The sequence below is a fragment of the Homo sapiens genome, chromosome 3 (assembly GCF_000001405.40).
Source record: "Homo sapiens chromosome 3, GRCh38.p14 Primary Assembly".
In the NCBI taxonomy this organism is placed as follows: domain Eukaryota; kingdom Metazoa; phylum Chordata; class Mammalia; order Primates; family Hominidae; genus Homo; species Homo sapiens.
Window position 1 is genome coordinate 61,981,923 of NC_000003.12, and position 15,797 is coordinate 61,997,719.

The 15,797-nt window shown below is 38.9% G+C and overlaps 1 protein-coding gene across 7 annotated transcripts in view, besides 1 other annotated feature; it reads left to right on the forward strand.

Annotated features, from left to right (window-relative positions):
• The window catches only part of PTPRG (protein tyrosine phosphatase receptor type G), a 736,039-nt gene that overhangs the window by 420,352 nt on the left and 299,890 nt on the right, over positions 1-15,797 (forward strand). For all 7 annotated transcript variants that reach the window (XM_017006961.2, XM_017006963.2, NM_002841.4 and 4 more), the window contains exon 3: positions 7,703-7,882. In XM_017006961.2, coding sequence (XP_016862450.1) covers positions 7,703-7,882 — 180 coding nt within the window. The remainder of the gene's footprint in view (positions 1-7,702; positions 7,883-15,797) is intronic.
• Positions 3,113-3,407: an enhancer, noted in NCBI's record as "tiled region #14465; HepG2 Activating non-DNase unmatched - State 23:Low, and K562 Activating non-DNase unmatched - State 24:Quies". NCBI's record gives its function as "activates a minimal TATA promoter and a strong SV40 promoter by Sharpr-MPRA in HepG2 and K562 cells {active_cell/tissue: HepG2 | K562}" and the evidence as "EXISTENCE:reporter gene assay evidence [ECO:0000049][PMID:27701403]".

Sequence of the window (15,797 nt, forward strand, 5' to 3'; positions counted from 1 at the left end):
TTTATGAATAACTAGTCATACAATTTGTGAGTTATTTGGAGCCAACATGCAAGGTAAATCTTACTTGTTAGCCTTGAACTAGAACTCAAGTTGCCAGTCACCTTGCCCAGTGCTCTTTGTACTCTGTTGTATGACCTTTTTAATCCTTGGATGATTGTTTCTATTATGTCTCGATGGAAAGTCAGGATTCTAAAAGAACATATTAGTCAAAATGTTGACTATTTGGGGGTGTACCTAACTTTAAGGTTGAAAACTTCAGGTCTGGAACGAACTCATCTCCATTTTATAAACACTTAAGATGTTTGGCATTGGCTAGTAAGAATTGTGATAACTTTGTTAGTATCTCAGATACTTGTTGAAGCCAGTTTCCTGTTGTATCTATGAGAAGCAGGAATAAAGCTGGTACAACTTTAAGTCAGCCTAGTTAGGTTTGGGGTGAATAAATGATCCCAATTATTGGTAGAAATTTTTAATGAATGTTTGGATGTGGGGTGGATTCAACTTGAAAGATATAACTTTTAAATCCCAGATACACCTAAACATGCATAGGTCAAAGACTTTTAAGTCTTTAAAGGACCTTCAGAATCTTGCAGTGTGTGGATGGCATGCATATTCATGGTTTGCACTCTAATAATGTCATATTATACACCCATGCGGGCATCACTAATCAGTCAACTCCTTTTGAGCCTTTACTCAGCCTAGAGGTCTGTGGCTCAGAACTAAAAGGTAGCCATTATTGCCATCTTTACTCTTTTTAATACCCTCCTTTTCCAGAACAGTAAAACAGGCTCCAGAGAAGCTTTTTACCATCAGGATTAGAGTCTGGGACCTCCAGTTTAGGCATTGGTACTGAATGAAATTTTACCTGAAATAGTTTTAACATCCAGTCCTAAAATAGACACCCTGGGAAATTAGACAGATAATGGTATTAAAAAATGAACAAAGTAGTTAGTTTCTATTTCTGGTGTTATTGTCTGATATTACTTCTGGTATTATGGTTAGTTGTTGATAGTTTTCTTTAAGCACACCATTGATATGAAATGGAGTACTGCAGTTTTTACACCTTAAATTTAAAACCAAAAAATGTGTATTTCATTATTTGCAAAGTAACTTTATATTTTCTTAACTGGTTTAAAATTTAGAATATTTCTATCAACAAAGTTGAGCAGCTTTATAACTGAATATGAATAAAGTAAAAATAGTGGCAAGCAGTAATATGCATGCCTTTTAAGACTTTTTCCATTTTTCGTGTACACACAAACAATAAATGCACAAGAAGTAATTAAGCTATTAGTACTGGAGAATGCAAAAGAATTGTAATCAGAATCCCATAAAGATTTTAATTAAAACATGGAATAATTTAAACCTGTGTATTCGATTTCGGATAAAAAGCATTAATTATAATAGGTAAAAATGATACACATATTTTTGGATTGTTGCTATTGGTTAAAAGTAGACAACAAAATGCAGAGTAATAAGCCTGGATTCAGGTAATATTTGTAATATAAGTTTATTGAGAGAGGCATTAATAAGCATATTTGACTAGAAACAGCACATAACATGTATATTAGTTTTGTTTTTAATTAGATTTAGACAGAATTCATTATTTTTAATGGCTTTTCATTAGTGAATAGGAACCATTATTTGGATCTATTGTGGTAAAATAAATTCAAGGTACATGCTTATTTTCAGCAAAGAACCTCTTAGGTATTTAAAGAAACCACTGTTTGGAACATGAATCATATATAGGTATGTGAAATTCCTTGCTTTTAGACAAAAGTATGATTTCTATGCTCATACAACTTTTATCTTAGGTCAGTTATTAACAGAGAACTATACTGAAGTGAGACAGTTTGCTTAAATTGTAGAAAATTCTTGTTGTTGACCAGTTTTATTTGTCCTTATTTGGACTTTTCAAGTAGTATTGCTGGGGCTGATGGTAGGGCAACATTAAGGTGTTTCTCTCAGATTTTTATATGATATTTGTTTGAATAGAATTAACTAGCATTGATTTAAAATTTATATGTGTCGACCAAGTTCTTTGGGCTAACTCTGCCTTAAAGAAACTGAGTATGAAGTGAAGTCTCAGATTCAAGCCCAGATTTACAGTATTTGCCATTATTTTCATGTGAGGAATTCTATCTGCCTTAAACAGACCAGTTGGAATTAATCTCCAATTGTGTGATTTATTCTCCCTACTGTGGAAATATGTCTTCCTGATGCTAGTCTACTGAATTGTAACATCTCAAAATGAGAAAAATACAGTGACTTGTGAATGGCACACTAAGGAGGTAGAAGTGGATTATTTTAATGCAGAAATGAGCTATAGGTTAAGCTAATGATGTTTTTCTTAATGACAGCTTTAAAAACTGAATTTCTCCAACTTTATATAAGGTTTTTATATAAGCTTAAATAATATCACCCATGAACTTGATTATTTTCTTTACCGTAGTCTCTTGTTTCCTTCGTCTTTTGTGTTTGCAGACTCCATTTATCCAAAAAGAATATGACAGTCATCCCAGTATTACCCATAAATCAGTGCCCATCTCCCTCATCTATCATGCCATAGACACGGCCTAAGTGCATACCAGTAAATCCAGTAAAACCTGGTTAGTAAAATTTAACTTATTTAACACAACTTATATTTTACTTGGCTTCTATGCAGTTTGCTCCATAATTTCTTCATTTCATTGTCAGAGTAGCCACAAAAGAATGACCTTTTGACAAGGACCTACTAGGAACCCAACATGGGTGTGTTTACTATTAACTGAGCACCAAACTTTACTCAGAGCTCATGAGTTTTTCCATTAATTTTTGTTTTTGATTCCACCATTCAATCTAGAGCACCACATTCTATTTATTGTCTGTGTCTCCTTAATCTTCTCTGATCTCTGACAGTGTTTTAGTCTTTCTCATGACCTTGACACTTTTGAGGAGTGTTTGTCAATTATATAGAATGTTTGTCAATTATATAGAATGTTCCCCAATTTGGGTTTGTCTGATGTATTCCCCATGATTATACCAGGGTTGTGAATTTTTGGAAAGAATACCACGGAGGTGATTTGCCCTTCTTACCACTTCCTGTCAGATGTCCAAGATAGCCATGTGGTCTCACTGGGGATGTTAACCTTCATCATTTGACTAAGGTGACTTTTGCTAGGCCTCTCCACTGGGAACTTACTCACTAAATCTAGCCAAAGATGGGATTAAGTTCTTCTTGCCAGAGGGGCGAACTCTACTTTTGACTGTTGGCTTCTGCCCAAATGGGAAATGCCTGAGTAAGATGACCACAGGCTAGTAAACTTCTCTGCACTGCAGGAAGTGACTTCACTCAAGTGTCACCGCCACCATAAGTTCCCTCCTGGGGAGGTGGGGCCCCTCCTCTCCCTTTGCATGCCATGAAATGCTTGCACCCACCTGCCTTAGCCGTTGGGTGGGCTACATGTCTGTTTCATCCATTGCCTAGTCAGTTTCTTGACAGTCTGCTATACATTTACAAGCCAGTAACAGAGGCAGTAATTATTGTGGGCAGCACTTACTGAACTTTTAGTGTTTGATAATGCTCTAAGCACATGGATTATCTAATATAATCCTTACAGCTACCCTTTGGTATCTGGGTACCTCATTGTACAGAGGAGGGGCTGTGAGCCACAGGCAGCTTAAATTGTCCAAGGGAACTGGGGCAGCCCTGCTCCTTATGTCCCATTTCTCAGCCCTGTCTAGGACTGAGCAAGTGTCGATTCTGTATTTAAATTGATAACAGTGATGGATTGATCATTAAGACTAAATTTCTTCTTTGATTGACCTTCTTTGATTACAGAGGTCTGTTAAAGCATAGAAAAAATAAGAGCAGTTTAAAAATGATGATGCTTCGCAGAAGGCATCAAAAGCAAGAGTTCTACTGCACCCTTTCTTTAAAAAGCCATAGTCACCTTTGCTGGGCTTGTTAAATTTGCACATGGATTCTTTCATGGACATCTCATATTTGCAGCTTATTTTACCTTGTCACAGTTGAAACGAATTTAATATATTAGTGAAGAACGAAAAGGAGTATTTACTCCTGAAGTTGACATCCTGGCTCTGGAGACCAAGGGAGTGAGGAATACTTAGCAAGAAGTCAGTAGATAGATGGGTAAACTCAAACTAAAATAAATATGACAATGATCATATTGAACAATCATATTTAATACGACAATCATCATATTTAATATGATTGAATCATCATATTAAAGAGTGGAACTCTGCCACTCTTTAATGTCTTCTTTCAGTTCTCTCTTCTTTCAATTCATTCATTTGTACCTAAAAATATGTTTTAAGGGCTTACTGTATGTGAGCCCCTGTGATAGGCATTGGAATGAAGTTGTACAAGATACAGAAGGAACCAGTTCTCAGAGTTTACCACCAGTGGGGAAGACAGACATTTAGATATAAATGGTAAATTGTATAATAGTAATAATGGGGTCCAAAGGAAACCAAGAACCCCTGTGTATCTCTCACGAAGGGACGTTTACCCTGAGATCAAACTTTTAGCCAGGGGTTTCAGATGTGTTTATTGAATTCATTAAAAAGGATATATTTGTCATCACATGTTGAATGAGAAACACTATTACATTCCCTTAGTACTTAGAGGTTGGCAGTATGTCTCAATCAAAATCTCATTTCTTTAAGACTTTCATCAGGTGAACAGGAAATTACTTTTGGCAGCCCAAATTGCCCTGTGTTTTCTACCCCGCCCTTACCTCTTCCCTTTTGAGAACACGGACTTGTGTACTAGATTGACGTGTTGGAGTTGGTGAGCCACTCAGAAGGATCTTGCTGCCAAAATACAGATGTCTTGTTACTTCTAAGAAAGAGTCAGTAAGAGGAAACTAAAGTGCAAGTGACTTCTTATTCTTATTTTAGATGGGTAATATCATGTCTGAGAGAGGAAGGCTTCTTGTTAAGTGTTCATCTCTTCCCAACTAGGTTTAAGTTAACCATAGTCTTTATTTAGTATCTTTTTTTTTTCTTTTACTTAAAAGTATTTATTCAAATTTGTGAAAAACAAAGCATTCAATACTATGAGTCTTGTGGAACTGCAAATGATTAATGGTATAATTCTCAGTCTTTTATAAAGTGTCTTAACACTGAAGAGATTTATACAGTGTGGAATGGCAATGGTGCTTCGATGTGAGAATAGATAATCAATATCTGCAAGCTTGGAAAAAGTGTTCTATTTCCTCTGCTAATGACATAGGGGTTTTTGCAAGGCAAGGGTGTCTGAAGCATGAAGTACTCCAAAGAAGAATTAATTTGAAATCTGAAGTGGAAGATCAGTTTCAATTAAAATTGCACTTGAATGTATATTGGGTGGAAGTGTGAAAGCAAGCATGTAGTTGGCTTAAAGCTTCAGATTGTTACCAGTGAATAAATGAATCCCACTGGTATGAACCCAGATTATATTTTTATAGAGTGATAAATTGTATTTTACCCATGTCTGGAAGGTTATGAGAACTAATATGAATGGCAAGTACTTTTCTGACATCGCAGAGTATTTTTTAAATTGTTAGTAGTAGGAGGAGAATTATCAGGTATCTGTTTTTACAAATGATGGCTTGCATCTATTATTTGAGTCATATGTATTTGGATTTATTTTACTGTGTCCCATATCATTTTTCTCTGTTGAGTGTAATTTTATTGTACTGTAAGTTTCTAGAAGGCATGCATACATACACATATGATATTATGATATTAAAACATTTAGATTCCATAATTTGGATTTACAAACTCAATTGTGGCTAAGTAAAATTCCTATTTTGGTCAGCCATCTAATAAATCAACAATCACTTTATTTGGTTTTTCAATGGATTCTTTTGGCATCTGGAAGAAAATTTAAGCTGTAGACAGGATAATTAGAGCCATTCCTTACGTCTCGTTCGTCTCCTTTTTTTTCTTTTTTCTCCAAATATGTAGATGCAAGATGAAAATAAAGTTTGGCCAAAATAAAATTTGGCTAAATATATGGCAAATGCATACTATCCCTTTGTGAATCATCACAGTCATAGGGAATTTGACAAAGAGGTAAAAAAATACATGAGTGAAAAGCCTATGACAGTTGTAATCGTGCAGTGAAGAAAATGGTGATGTGAACTTTTTCCGGATAGTAGCGCGACACTTATAAATGACTTAAAAGTGCCCCAAGGTTGCTAGACCTTTGCCAGTCAGTGAACATGTTCATTTGGATAGTCTGTTTTTAATCTTACTCTTTGGGATGAGGATTAGGGAGAATGACTGAAGCATTAGAGTGAGGCTGCGGTATTTTCCAGATAGCAAAAATATGCATCATTTTTAAGGAGCTATATCCATTGCTCTTGCAGCCATGAAACCTCCCTTACCATAATGGAAAATACTTTCTGTGATTGTCCCATTTTTCTTGTACCATTGTTTATATCTACTGTGAGCTGTTACCAGTTTGGGGGGAATGGGGAAAGCCATGGCAAATGATTGGGTGGCAGCCACTCATGTGGACTCTTATTTAGTGGTAGGCAGGTTTATCTACTACTAAACTAACAAGGCTAGTAGTTAGACTTACCTACTAATAAACTAAACAAGATTTCTTTGTGTCTTCCATTGTATGAGGCTAGGTATACAGGAGGCACAAAAATCCCCACCCATCTACCAGTATTTCTGTAGATGAATGTATATACACACATTAAGCTTTCTCATTGGGAAGCCTGTGTTTTACTTGCTAAAAATTGTGAAGTTTTTTTCTTATCTAATTCTCAATAAAGGATTCAGTCTTAATCTTTCCAGTAAAAGTTGTTTCAGCAGGCTACTCCCGCTTTGTTGTGTCAACAAGGTTAAAAGTAGGATGCAGAAAAGTCTAAGAGCCTGTAGTCAACGTAATAGAAACTGCTCCCATAATATTTCATTTCCAAATAGGACAGGGAGGCAAATGCAGTGTGTTTTCTGTATTTATACCTGATTGGTACCTATTAGAATTATGCTTTATGGTTGTGCTTTCTTCATTTATTTCTGTGGCATATGTCCCCCCAAATTCTTTATTTATATGAGTACAGAGTCCAGTCTGAAGGTAACTTTATACCTGCATTTTCTACGAGAGAGAAGGATTGAAAAGGAGAGATGAGTGTCTTAACACTCAAGTGTACAAATGAGGGCCAAACTGAAAAATCTTTCACAATTAGCCAAAGGAAAAACCTGCCTTTATTGCCTCCATGATTTGTAATGCCTCTCATCTAGTTTTCTGTTGCCTTTAATTTTTTTTCCCTTTTTCATGTTTACAGTCTTTTATGGGCTAAGAAGAAAGTTGTATTTAGGATATTGCCCACAATAGCAAAACATGCTAACTCGATCAAGGTGCTTTTTTTGTGAATAAATGCTCTGCTTATTTTAGGAAACATTTAAAAATTGTCAGAAATATGGACAACCCTAATAGCCCTTCTACACAACTCTCTTAACCTGATTAAAGATAAAGTTAGCAAATGTTTGATTGTAAATCAAGAAGCAAAACTAACTTAAGTAACATCTTTTCTGAAATCTTCTTGTCACATCAGGCCAATGGCTTTGATTCATAGTTTTCAGTACATTCACCTCTTTGGATTGGGGACATGTTGAGAGATGCAGTGCTCAGCTTCCTAAGATTTATTCATTTCATCCCTGACCCTTGAACCATGAGGATTGAAGTGTTGTCTTCTTTCAACAGGTGCCTATGGTCCTGAGCACTGGGTCACGTCTAGTGTCAGCTGTGGGGGCCGTCACCAGTCTCCTATTGACATTTTAGACCAGTATGCGCGTGTTGGGGAAGAATACCAGGAACTGCAACTCGATGGCTTCGACAATGAGTCTTCTAACAAAACCTGGATGAAAAACACAGGGAAAACAGGTAGACAATGGCTTCTTTATTTGTCCACAGAGCAACAGGAACTATTTTTGGATGTCTCTGGTGTTTTCCTTAACCATGACTTGCTCCTTAAATAGTGCACATTGCTGTGGGGAGCCTAAATCAGTCCTTAGTTTCAGAACAAGTTATGTAACTCAGTAAATCACTCTGTGGCTAATCACCCTGTGTCTTCATTTTTTTAAAAATATAAACTATAGATAATAAAGTATTATACATCTAGACCTAGGGTAGTAGTGATTAAATGAGTTAGTAGATGTAAGGTATGTAGAAGGACTTTCAGAAAGCTACCCAATCTAGTAGCCACTAGCCACATGTGACTATTTCCATTTAAGTTTTAATTAAAAATTAAATAATATTAAAATTTGGTCCCTCAGTTGTATTAGGTACATTTCACGTGCTTATCTGCCACATACGGCTAGTGACTACCCTATTGGGCAGCCCAGACAGAGGACATTCTCTCATTGCAGAAAGTTCTATCAGGTAACATTGTGCCAAATATGCAAATGGAAACAGAATTCTTATCTTTCTTGAGATTTTGCTTTATTAATATTTTTTATTACTTCCGAGTACAGATGAACTGTCTCATCCCTTTGTGTATCAGACCAGCAATTCAATTCTTCCACTTGTCATTTTGGGATTTGTGAATATGCAGCATCGTCTTTTTACCATTGCTAATGCGAAGAGCTGCCTCCCTCTCAATTACTGTTGTGCAAATATCAGTTTATAGATTGTCCTTGTAAGTACCAGAGAATGCCTTGCTGTGCTCCACTGTACGATCTGAAAATAAGCTCTGGGATGTTATATTACATCTCTGCTTAGTGCTACCTGGGGTTCTGTTGATGCCTAAAGATATTTTTCACTCTTATTACTTAACTACTTATGACTTTGGCCCATTAAAGCAAGTTTTTTTTTCTCTTTCTCTTCTTAAAGTGAACCCTTTGTAACCAAGGATGTCACTGTGAACCACTGTTAGTAATCCCTTTCAGGAGCCTTGGCTGTCAGAGCCCTCATGCTGGGCTAAAATGACTTAGCTCCTAGCCCTTTGGTGCTATTCATGTTGTAGGTCACAAAGTTGCCTTTTTTTTTTTTTTTTTAAATAACCTAACTGGCTAAATGGGCAGCTTTAGGGATCCATTTTCTTTCTTTCTCCAAACCATCATTTGAGATTATTCATAGCTGATTGCTTTGAGTTTGCCTGGCATGTTCATAGAATTGCTTCCCACTCACTTAGCGCAGTGATTCCTGGCTTTGGGCCTTTTTTATAATGCCCCCAGAAACAATTCTGCTTCCTGTGTTATAGCAGGTGACCCTCTCCTGTACCTTGATTCATCTATATGAGTAGCTGCGTAGAAAAAACTGGTGATCCAATAATGTTATTTGTACGTAATTTTTTAAATTTTTGAGACGGAGTCTCACTCTGTTGCCCGGGCTGGAGTGCAGTGGCATGATCATGGTTCACTGCAACCTCCACCTCCTAGGTTCAAGCGATTCTCCTGCCTCAGCCTCCCAAGTAGCTGGGATTACAGGCATGTGCCACAACCCCCAGCTAGTTTTTGTGTTTTTAGTAGAGACGGAATTTTGCCATGTTGGCCTGACTGGTCTCGAACTCCTGACCTCAGGTGATCTCCTCGCCTCGACCTCCCAAAGTGCTGGGATTACAGGCATGAGCCACTGCACCTGGCCTGTACGTACCTTTTCATCCTCACCTCTCTACCACCCCAGCACAGATTGTGTGCTTATTGTTACAATTCAGAATTTACCTATCAGTTGCCCTACTTTATGTTTTAAATATGGTGTTCTTAGGATAACCGCAATGAGATTATTTCTCTTCATACCATCTAAATGTAGTGGGCGAGAGCTTTGCCACACTGGGTGCAATCAGATTGGAACTGAGTACCACCTCAGCACCACATTCTGGAAGGCTGTCAAAGACAATCACTGGGCTCTCTGATACGGTTTTCTACTTGACTTGCAACGCTTGACAGCCTTCGGCAAAGATAACACGTTTCATTGACAGCTTTCAGCTTCGTATCACCAATGACAGGTTTTAGACGTATGTAGGGTTCACTCGATGCAAGCTGATTCATGACCTTGGTCTTCCAGAAGCTGATTATCAATCTGTGTCACTCTCCTGGCTTCCTAGAGTGATCCACAACCTGTTGCATATCTCTGAGTGCATGCACTTGATTTTAGAGCAAAGCTATCCAAATACGAAGCCATCAGTCTCAGAAATTTCAGAAGCACAGTGTTCTGAGAAGCAGAAATAGATCTTTGTTACTCTCATACAACTTATTACTGTAAAATTCACTACATAATATTAGATAGGCCAATATATTGTAAATACTCTAAGATGATTCTGTAGGAAGGGTTTTTAAAAAGTGACAACCAGTTATATGCAATTTGAAACAAAGAACATGCATTTTTGCATTTTTTTTTTTAATCTCTTGAAAGAGTTTTAACTTATGGTGGTTTAGAAACTTGGGTGCAGAAATCAACTTGTATTGTTTTGTTTTAACACTAATAGAAACTTCCTTCATTTGGTAGGTCTTTTTTTCTGAGACGGTCTCACTCTGTTGCCCGGGCTGGAGTTCAGTTGGCATGATCTCAGCTCATTGCAACCTCTGCCTCCCGGGTTCAAGCAGTTTCCGTGCCTCATCGGCCTGAGTAACTGGGATTACAGACAGCCACCTCCATGCCCGGCTAATTTTTTTTTTGAGACGGAGTCTCGCTCTTGTCACCCAGGCCGCAGTGCATTGGTGCAATCTCGGCTCACTGCAACCTCCGCCTCCCGGGTTGAAGCAATTCTCCCACCTCAGCAACCCGAGTAGCTGGGAATACAGGAGTGCGCGCCACCACCCCTGGCTAATTTCTGTATTTTTAGTAGAGACAGGATTTCACCATGCTGGCCAGACTGCTCTGGAACTCCTGACTTCAAGTGATCTGCCCGTCTCAGCCTCCCAAAGTGCTGGGATTACAGGCGTGAGCCACCGTGCCCGGCCATGCCCGGCTAATTTTTGTATTTTTAGTAGAGACAAGGTTTTGCCACGTTGGCCAGGCTGGTCTTGAGCTCCTGGCTTCAAGTGATCTGCCTGCCTCAGCCTCCCAAAATGCTAGGATTACAGGCATGAGCCACCATGCTTGGCTATTCTGTGGATCTTAACACGCCACATTAGTTCATAAATTTTTTAGAATTTTGGAGAAATGAGTATTTATTTGCTCTGTTTTGTCTGGAACATATAAATTCAACTGAACAGTGCATATTAGTGCAGGCTAAATTAGGGTGGGGTTGATAATTTCCACATTGAATAATATTGATAGGTAACCTATTTCTTTTTTTTTTTTAAGAAACCACCTGTCACTGTACTATAGTTTTTTTTGTTGTTGTTTGTTTGGTTTATTTATTTATTTTTTTGAGATGGAGTTTTGATCTTGTTGCCCAGGCTGGAGTGCAATGGTGTGATCTCAGCTCACCGCAACCTCCGCCTCCCGGGTTTAAGCAATTCTCCTGCCTCAGCCTCCTGAGTAGCTGGGATTACAGGCATGCGCCACCACACCCGGCTAATTTTTTATATTTTTAGTAGAGACGGGGTTGCTCCATGTTGGTCAGGCTGGTCTCGAACTCCCAACCTCAGGTGATCCGCCCACTTCTGCCTCCCAAAGTGCTGGGATTACACGCATGAGCCTCCGTGCCCGGCCCACTGTACTAGTTTTGAAAGATTGTACAATTAAGAGAAATGGGTTAAAGGGCTCATGGTATCTGTGCATTATTTCTTACAACTGCATGTGAATCTGCTATTCTGAGAAAAATTAAAAGTTTAATTTAAAAAAATTCATGTATCATAAGCCACATGGTCTGTCTTTGTGCCATCCATTTTATATCTATCTTGCATACCTAAAAGTATTTTAGAGTATTTTGTGGAACTTTATATTCCAGGAAATAAATTCAAGAGGGAGTATTTATTTTTTTCTGATGGAAATTTACAGGTCACTTATCTGTAAAATAGACTCTGTCTTTTGTATATTAAAATATGAATATAGAAAGTTAATATTTAAAGCGGCCTATTACATACAGACAGTAACTCTCCCATAAAACAGCTTAAATGTTCAGATCTGTCTTAATCCCCTGAGAGTGCTATATATCCTATCCAGCATAATCAATAGAGCAACTTGGTTGTACCTAGCCCACTTCTCGAAAGTTGTCTAAAATATCTTCACAAGACAGATAGCATCTCTCTATTTCTTCCTGAGGAGCCGTAACTATCTATTGTGCCAGTTCCCATTTGATTTCATCTAAAGTTATTTCCCTTTCTTTCATTTTTGTAGAATGAAAAGGTAATGCATTCATCAAGAACATTTCAAGACAATCTTGCTGTTCCTAGCATTAGCTTCCAGCAAAATGATCAGAATTTAATACTTAGACGGTGCTTCTGATGTATGTTAATAAGACGTGGCCTTCTATGAATTTTAACTATTGGGAGGGTTTTTATTTTATTTTTATTTTATTTTTTTAAACTACTTTTTCTTATATCCCACACTGAGGACAAATAGTAAATGTGTTTACCACAAGGCATGCTACTTTCATCTTCTCACATTGTATTGGTTTATTATATTTTTTCTTTGCCTACATTCTTCCCTATTTGTCTGCATATGCCATAGTGCCTGTGATACAGGTGGATTCAAAATATGGTTATTCAATTCACACAAGAATCAACGGGAGGGAAACTATGTATAGATGGGGAAGTCAAGAGTCATTTTCTAGTATGTTACTGAGCCCATAAAAGTAAGGCAAGTAGTAGGACACTGTTGCATTGAGTTTACTTTACCTGGCTCTTAGAAGTTTTTAGTAGAGTAGCAACTTAAGAGCACACAGAGGCAAGCTAAATAATGAACAAACTAATTGCAAGCTGGTAAAAAGAGAAAAATAAAATCTTAACAACCTTGGTCACTTCCACATGCTATTTCCCTGACTGAGCTTGTGACCCAAGCTAAGTGTTGGAGGAGGATGTAGCTCTGCTGCTCTGCTCAGACACAGGCCAGGGGTAACTACCCCTCCCCAAGGTCAAGCAAGTATCTGGAGTTGAAAGATACTCTTTGCCCTGTTGACTGCTGCCTCTCTGCAGCCCTGAAGAGCCGCTTGTCTCTTCCAAGGTCAGTGGAGACAAGGATGTGTGAGCCTTACTGAGAGTCAGCACCAGGCTACCACTTTAGATGGGTACCTTACAGGTTTTTTTTTTCTTTTTTCTTTTTTCTTTTCTTTCTTTCTTTTTTTTTTTTTTTTTTTTTTGAGACAGAGTCTTGCTATGTTGCCCAGGCTGGAATGCAATGTCACCATCTTGGTTCACTGCAACCTCCGTCTCCTAGGTTCAAGTGATTCTTATGTCCCAGCCTCCCAAGTAGCTGGAATTACAGGTGCATGCCACCAAGCCAAGTTCATTTTTGTATTTTTAGTAGAAACAGGGTTTCTCCATGTTGGCCAGGCTGGTCTCAAACTCCCGGCCTCAAGCAATCTGCCCCACCTCGGCCACCCAAAGTGCTGGGATTACAGGCATGAGCCACTGCGCCTGGCTCATTACAAGGTTTTCAATAGCAATCTTCATGATGTCTGATTTCCCTCCAAAACTGATGGACTTTTGTGCCTAGCCCTCATGCAAGATGTGATCCAACAGTGGCATGGTTGCTCAAGTGTAACACGGATGCCTTTAGTAATCAAGAGATTGGTTAGGAAGTTTCTAGGAAAAGTGTGTTTGTGTGTGTGTGAGGGGGGTGTGGGTGTGTGGGTATGGGGGTGTGTAGGTATTGTGTATGTGTGTGTCTTCATATGTTTCTGATAGTCTAGGCTTTCCGCCTGCCTGCCCGCCCGCCTTCCTTCCTTCCTTCCTTCCTTCCTTCCTTCCTTCCTTCCTTCCTTCCTTCCTTCCTTCCTTCCCTCCCTCTCTCCCTCCCTCCTTCTTTTTCTTTTTCTTTTTTTGATGGAGTCTCACTCTGTCTCCAAGCTGGAGTGCAGTGGTGCAATCTCTGCTCACTGCAACCTCTGACTATTCTTTGTATTCTGTTGGACTCGATATGTCTTTCTCTACGGATCTCTCCACGAGCCTTTACATTTTTTGTTGTTTCATTCTCTCCCGCATTTCCTCCTGTGTCTTCTTGCATTTGCCTCCGCTGGGGCATGTCTCTGTCTCTCTGCCTGATTCTGCCTGTTTTCACTCCTTGCTCCTAGCATTGGCCCCCTTCTCTCCCTTCTTCCTGTCTTCTTTCCTTAGAGCTGGCCATAGAAGAGAACTGAAGTTTAAAAAATGTTTTTATTTGTTGTATCTGTGGAGTAGATTTTGATATTGACAATAATAACCTAAATGTGTTCTTATTGTAATAAAACCTCTCTTATCCCTGATAATATTGGATGGGGAGGGCCTGGAAAAGTGAAATACATGAATGATTCCCCAAATGTATTTCTGGGAGGGTTTCAAACTCACCTGGTACCAATCATTACTTTTATTTTTAATTATAACGCTTCCAGTAGCCTCCTCAATGTAATGATCCTTAATAGGTGTAAATATGGGATGATGATGGTAGACCATTGTGGAGTCATCATTCCTTGATCAACAGTTGCTTTTTTACTCTGAGTTTTGTTTATGGCACTGATGAATAGGTCATTTCACCTACAAAGAGACTGCCAAGCTTCTGATTAAGAGCAGAACATCAGCCAAGTAGACAGACATTTGGAAACATCTGGGCCCTTGGCATTGTTTATATTGGGCGTGTCTAATATAAACAGTGTCTTTGTAGTACCCTGGGGCATCTCTGGTTAGCTTAAGGTTGCCCAAAGAAAGAAAATGTAAGTTTAATTTTTAAAATCCATTCTTTATTTGGGGAATGCTAAGTGTGCTTTTGCTCTACTTTATACATTTTCCTGTTTCAAAGGCCCACATTCTTTGGTTCTTTCATTCTAATACTATCCAGCTTTGCCTGAACCCTGGAATTGAGCTTGGAGCTATTTCACTGGGTCACTCTTTGGCTAGATACTCTGCAAGCTGTGTTTCCTGTCTGCTAAGCTCCATTTTCTTTGTTATCCCCACAGCCTCAGTCCCCAAGTTCAGTAGTAGGAACTAGTTTCTGTGTAGACAGAAGCCTCATTAACCAATTACCCTGAATGTTACAGGCCATTTTTTGAAGAACCTTTTCTGTTTTAGGGTACAGCGTTCTCTGCTAGACTCCTCCATCTTTCGTGTCTTATATGGTTAAAAGTGTTAACTAATCCACCTTGTTCATCTCACTCAGTTTAGCAGTGAGTTAACTGAGACCCAGGATAATCCTGCAGTTTGTCATCTCTTGGATATCTGAGGTTGCTCTTACTCAGCACGTCCAGTGACTCTTTACTGGATTACTGCTATCAGCTCCTCACTTATTTCTACTGACAGCATTGCTTTCCTCCCAGGCCTTCTCCACAGAGTAGCCAGAGTAATCTACTTAGTTCCCTAATCTGATCTTGCCTGTCTGTCTCTCCCTCTTTGTTGTTCTCTCTCTCAAGCATATCAAGGACTTCCCATTTCTCTTGGGACAAACACAGACTGCTCACTGTCCGTGCCTCATGCTCTGTCCTCGTGTCCCATCCTGCTCTCTGGGTACCTGTCACCTTGGCTTTCTCTTACTCGTTACCACTACCACAGGGCCATTGATTCTTTCTTGATGTTCTCCCATCTTGTTGGCACTTCCCCGGGGTAGCTCCTTTAACTCTCAGCTCAGACCATGACACCCTCCCCTTCTCTCATCTGGGGTTCGATGCTCAGGTGCTACCCCTTGTCCCACTAGCAGGTTTGCTTCTGTTGTCTGTTTAGTTCTTGGGACCTGTCCTTCCCATCGGCTGTAAGTTCCATAAGGGCAAGAGTTGTGTCTGATTTAC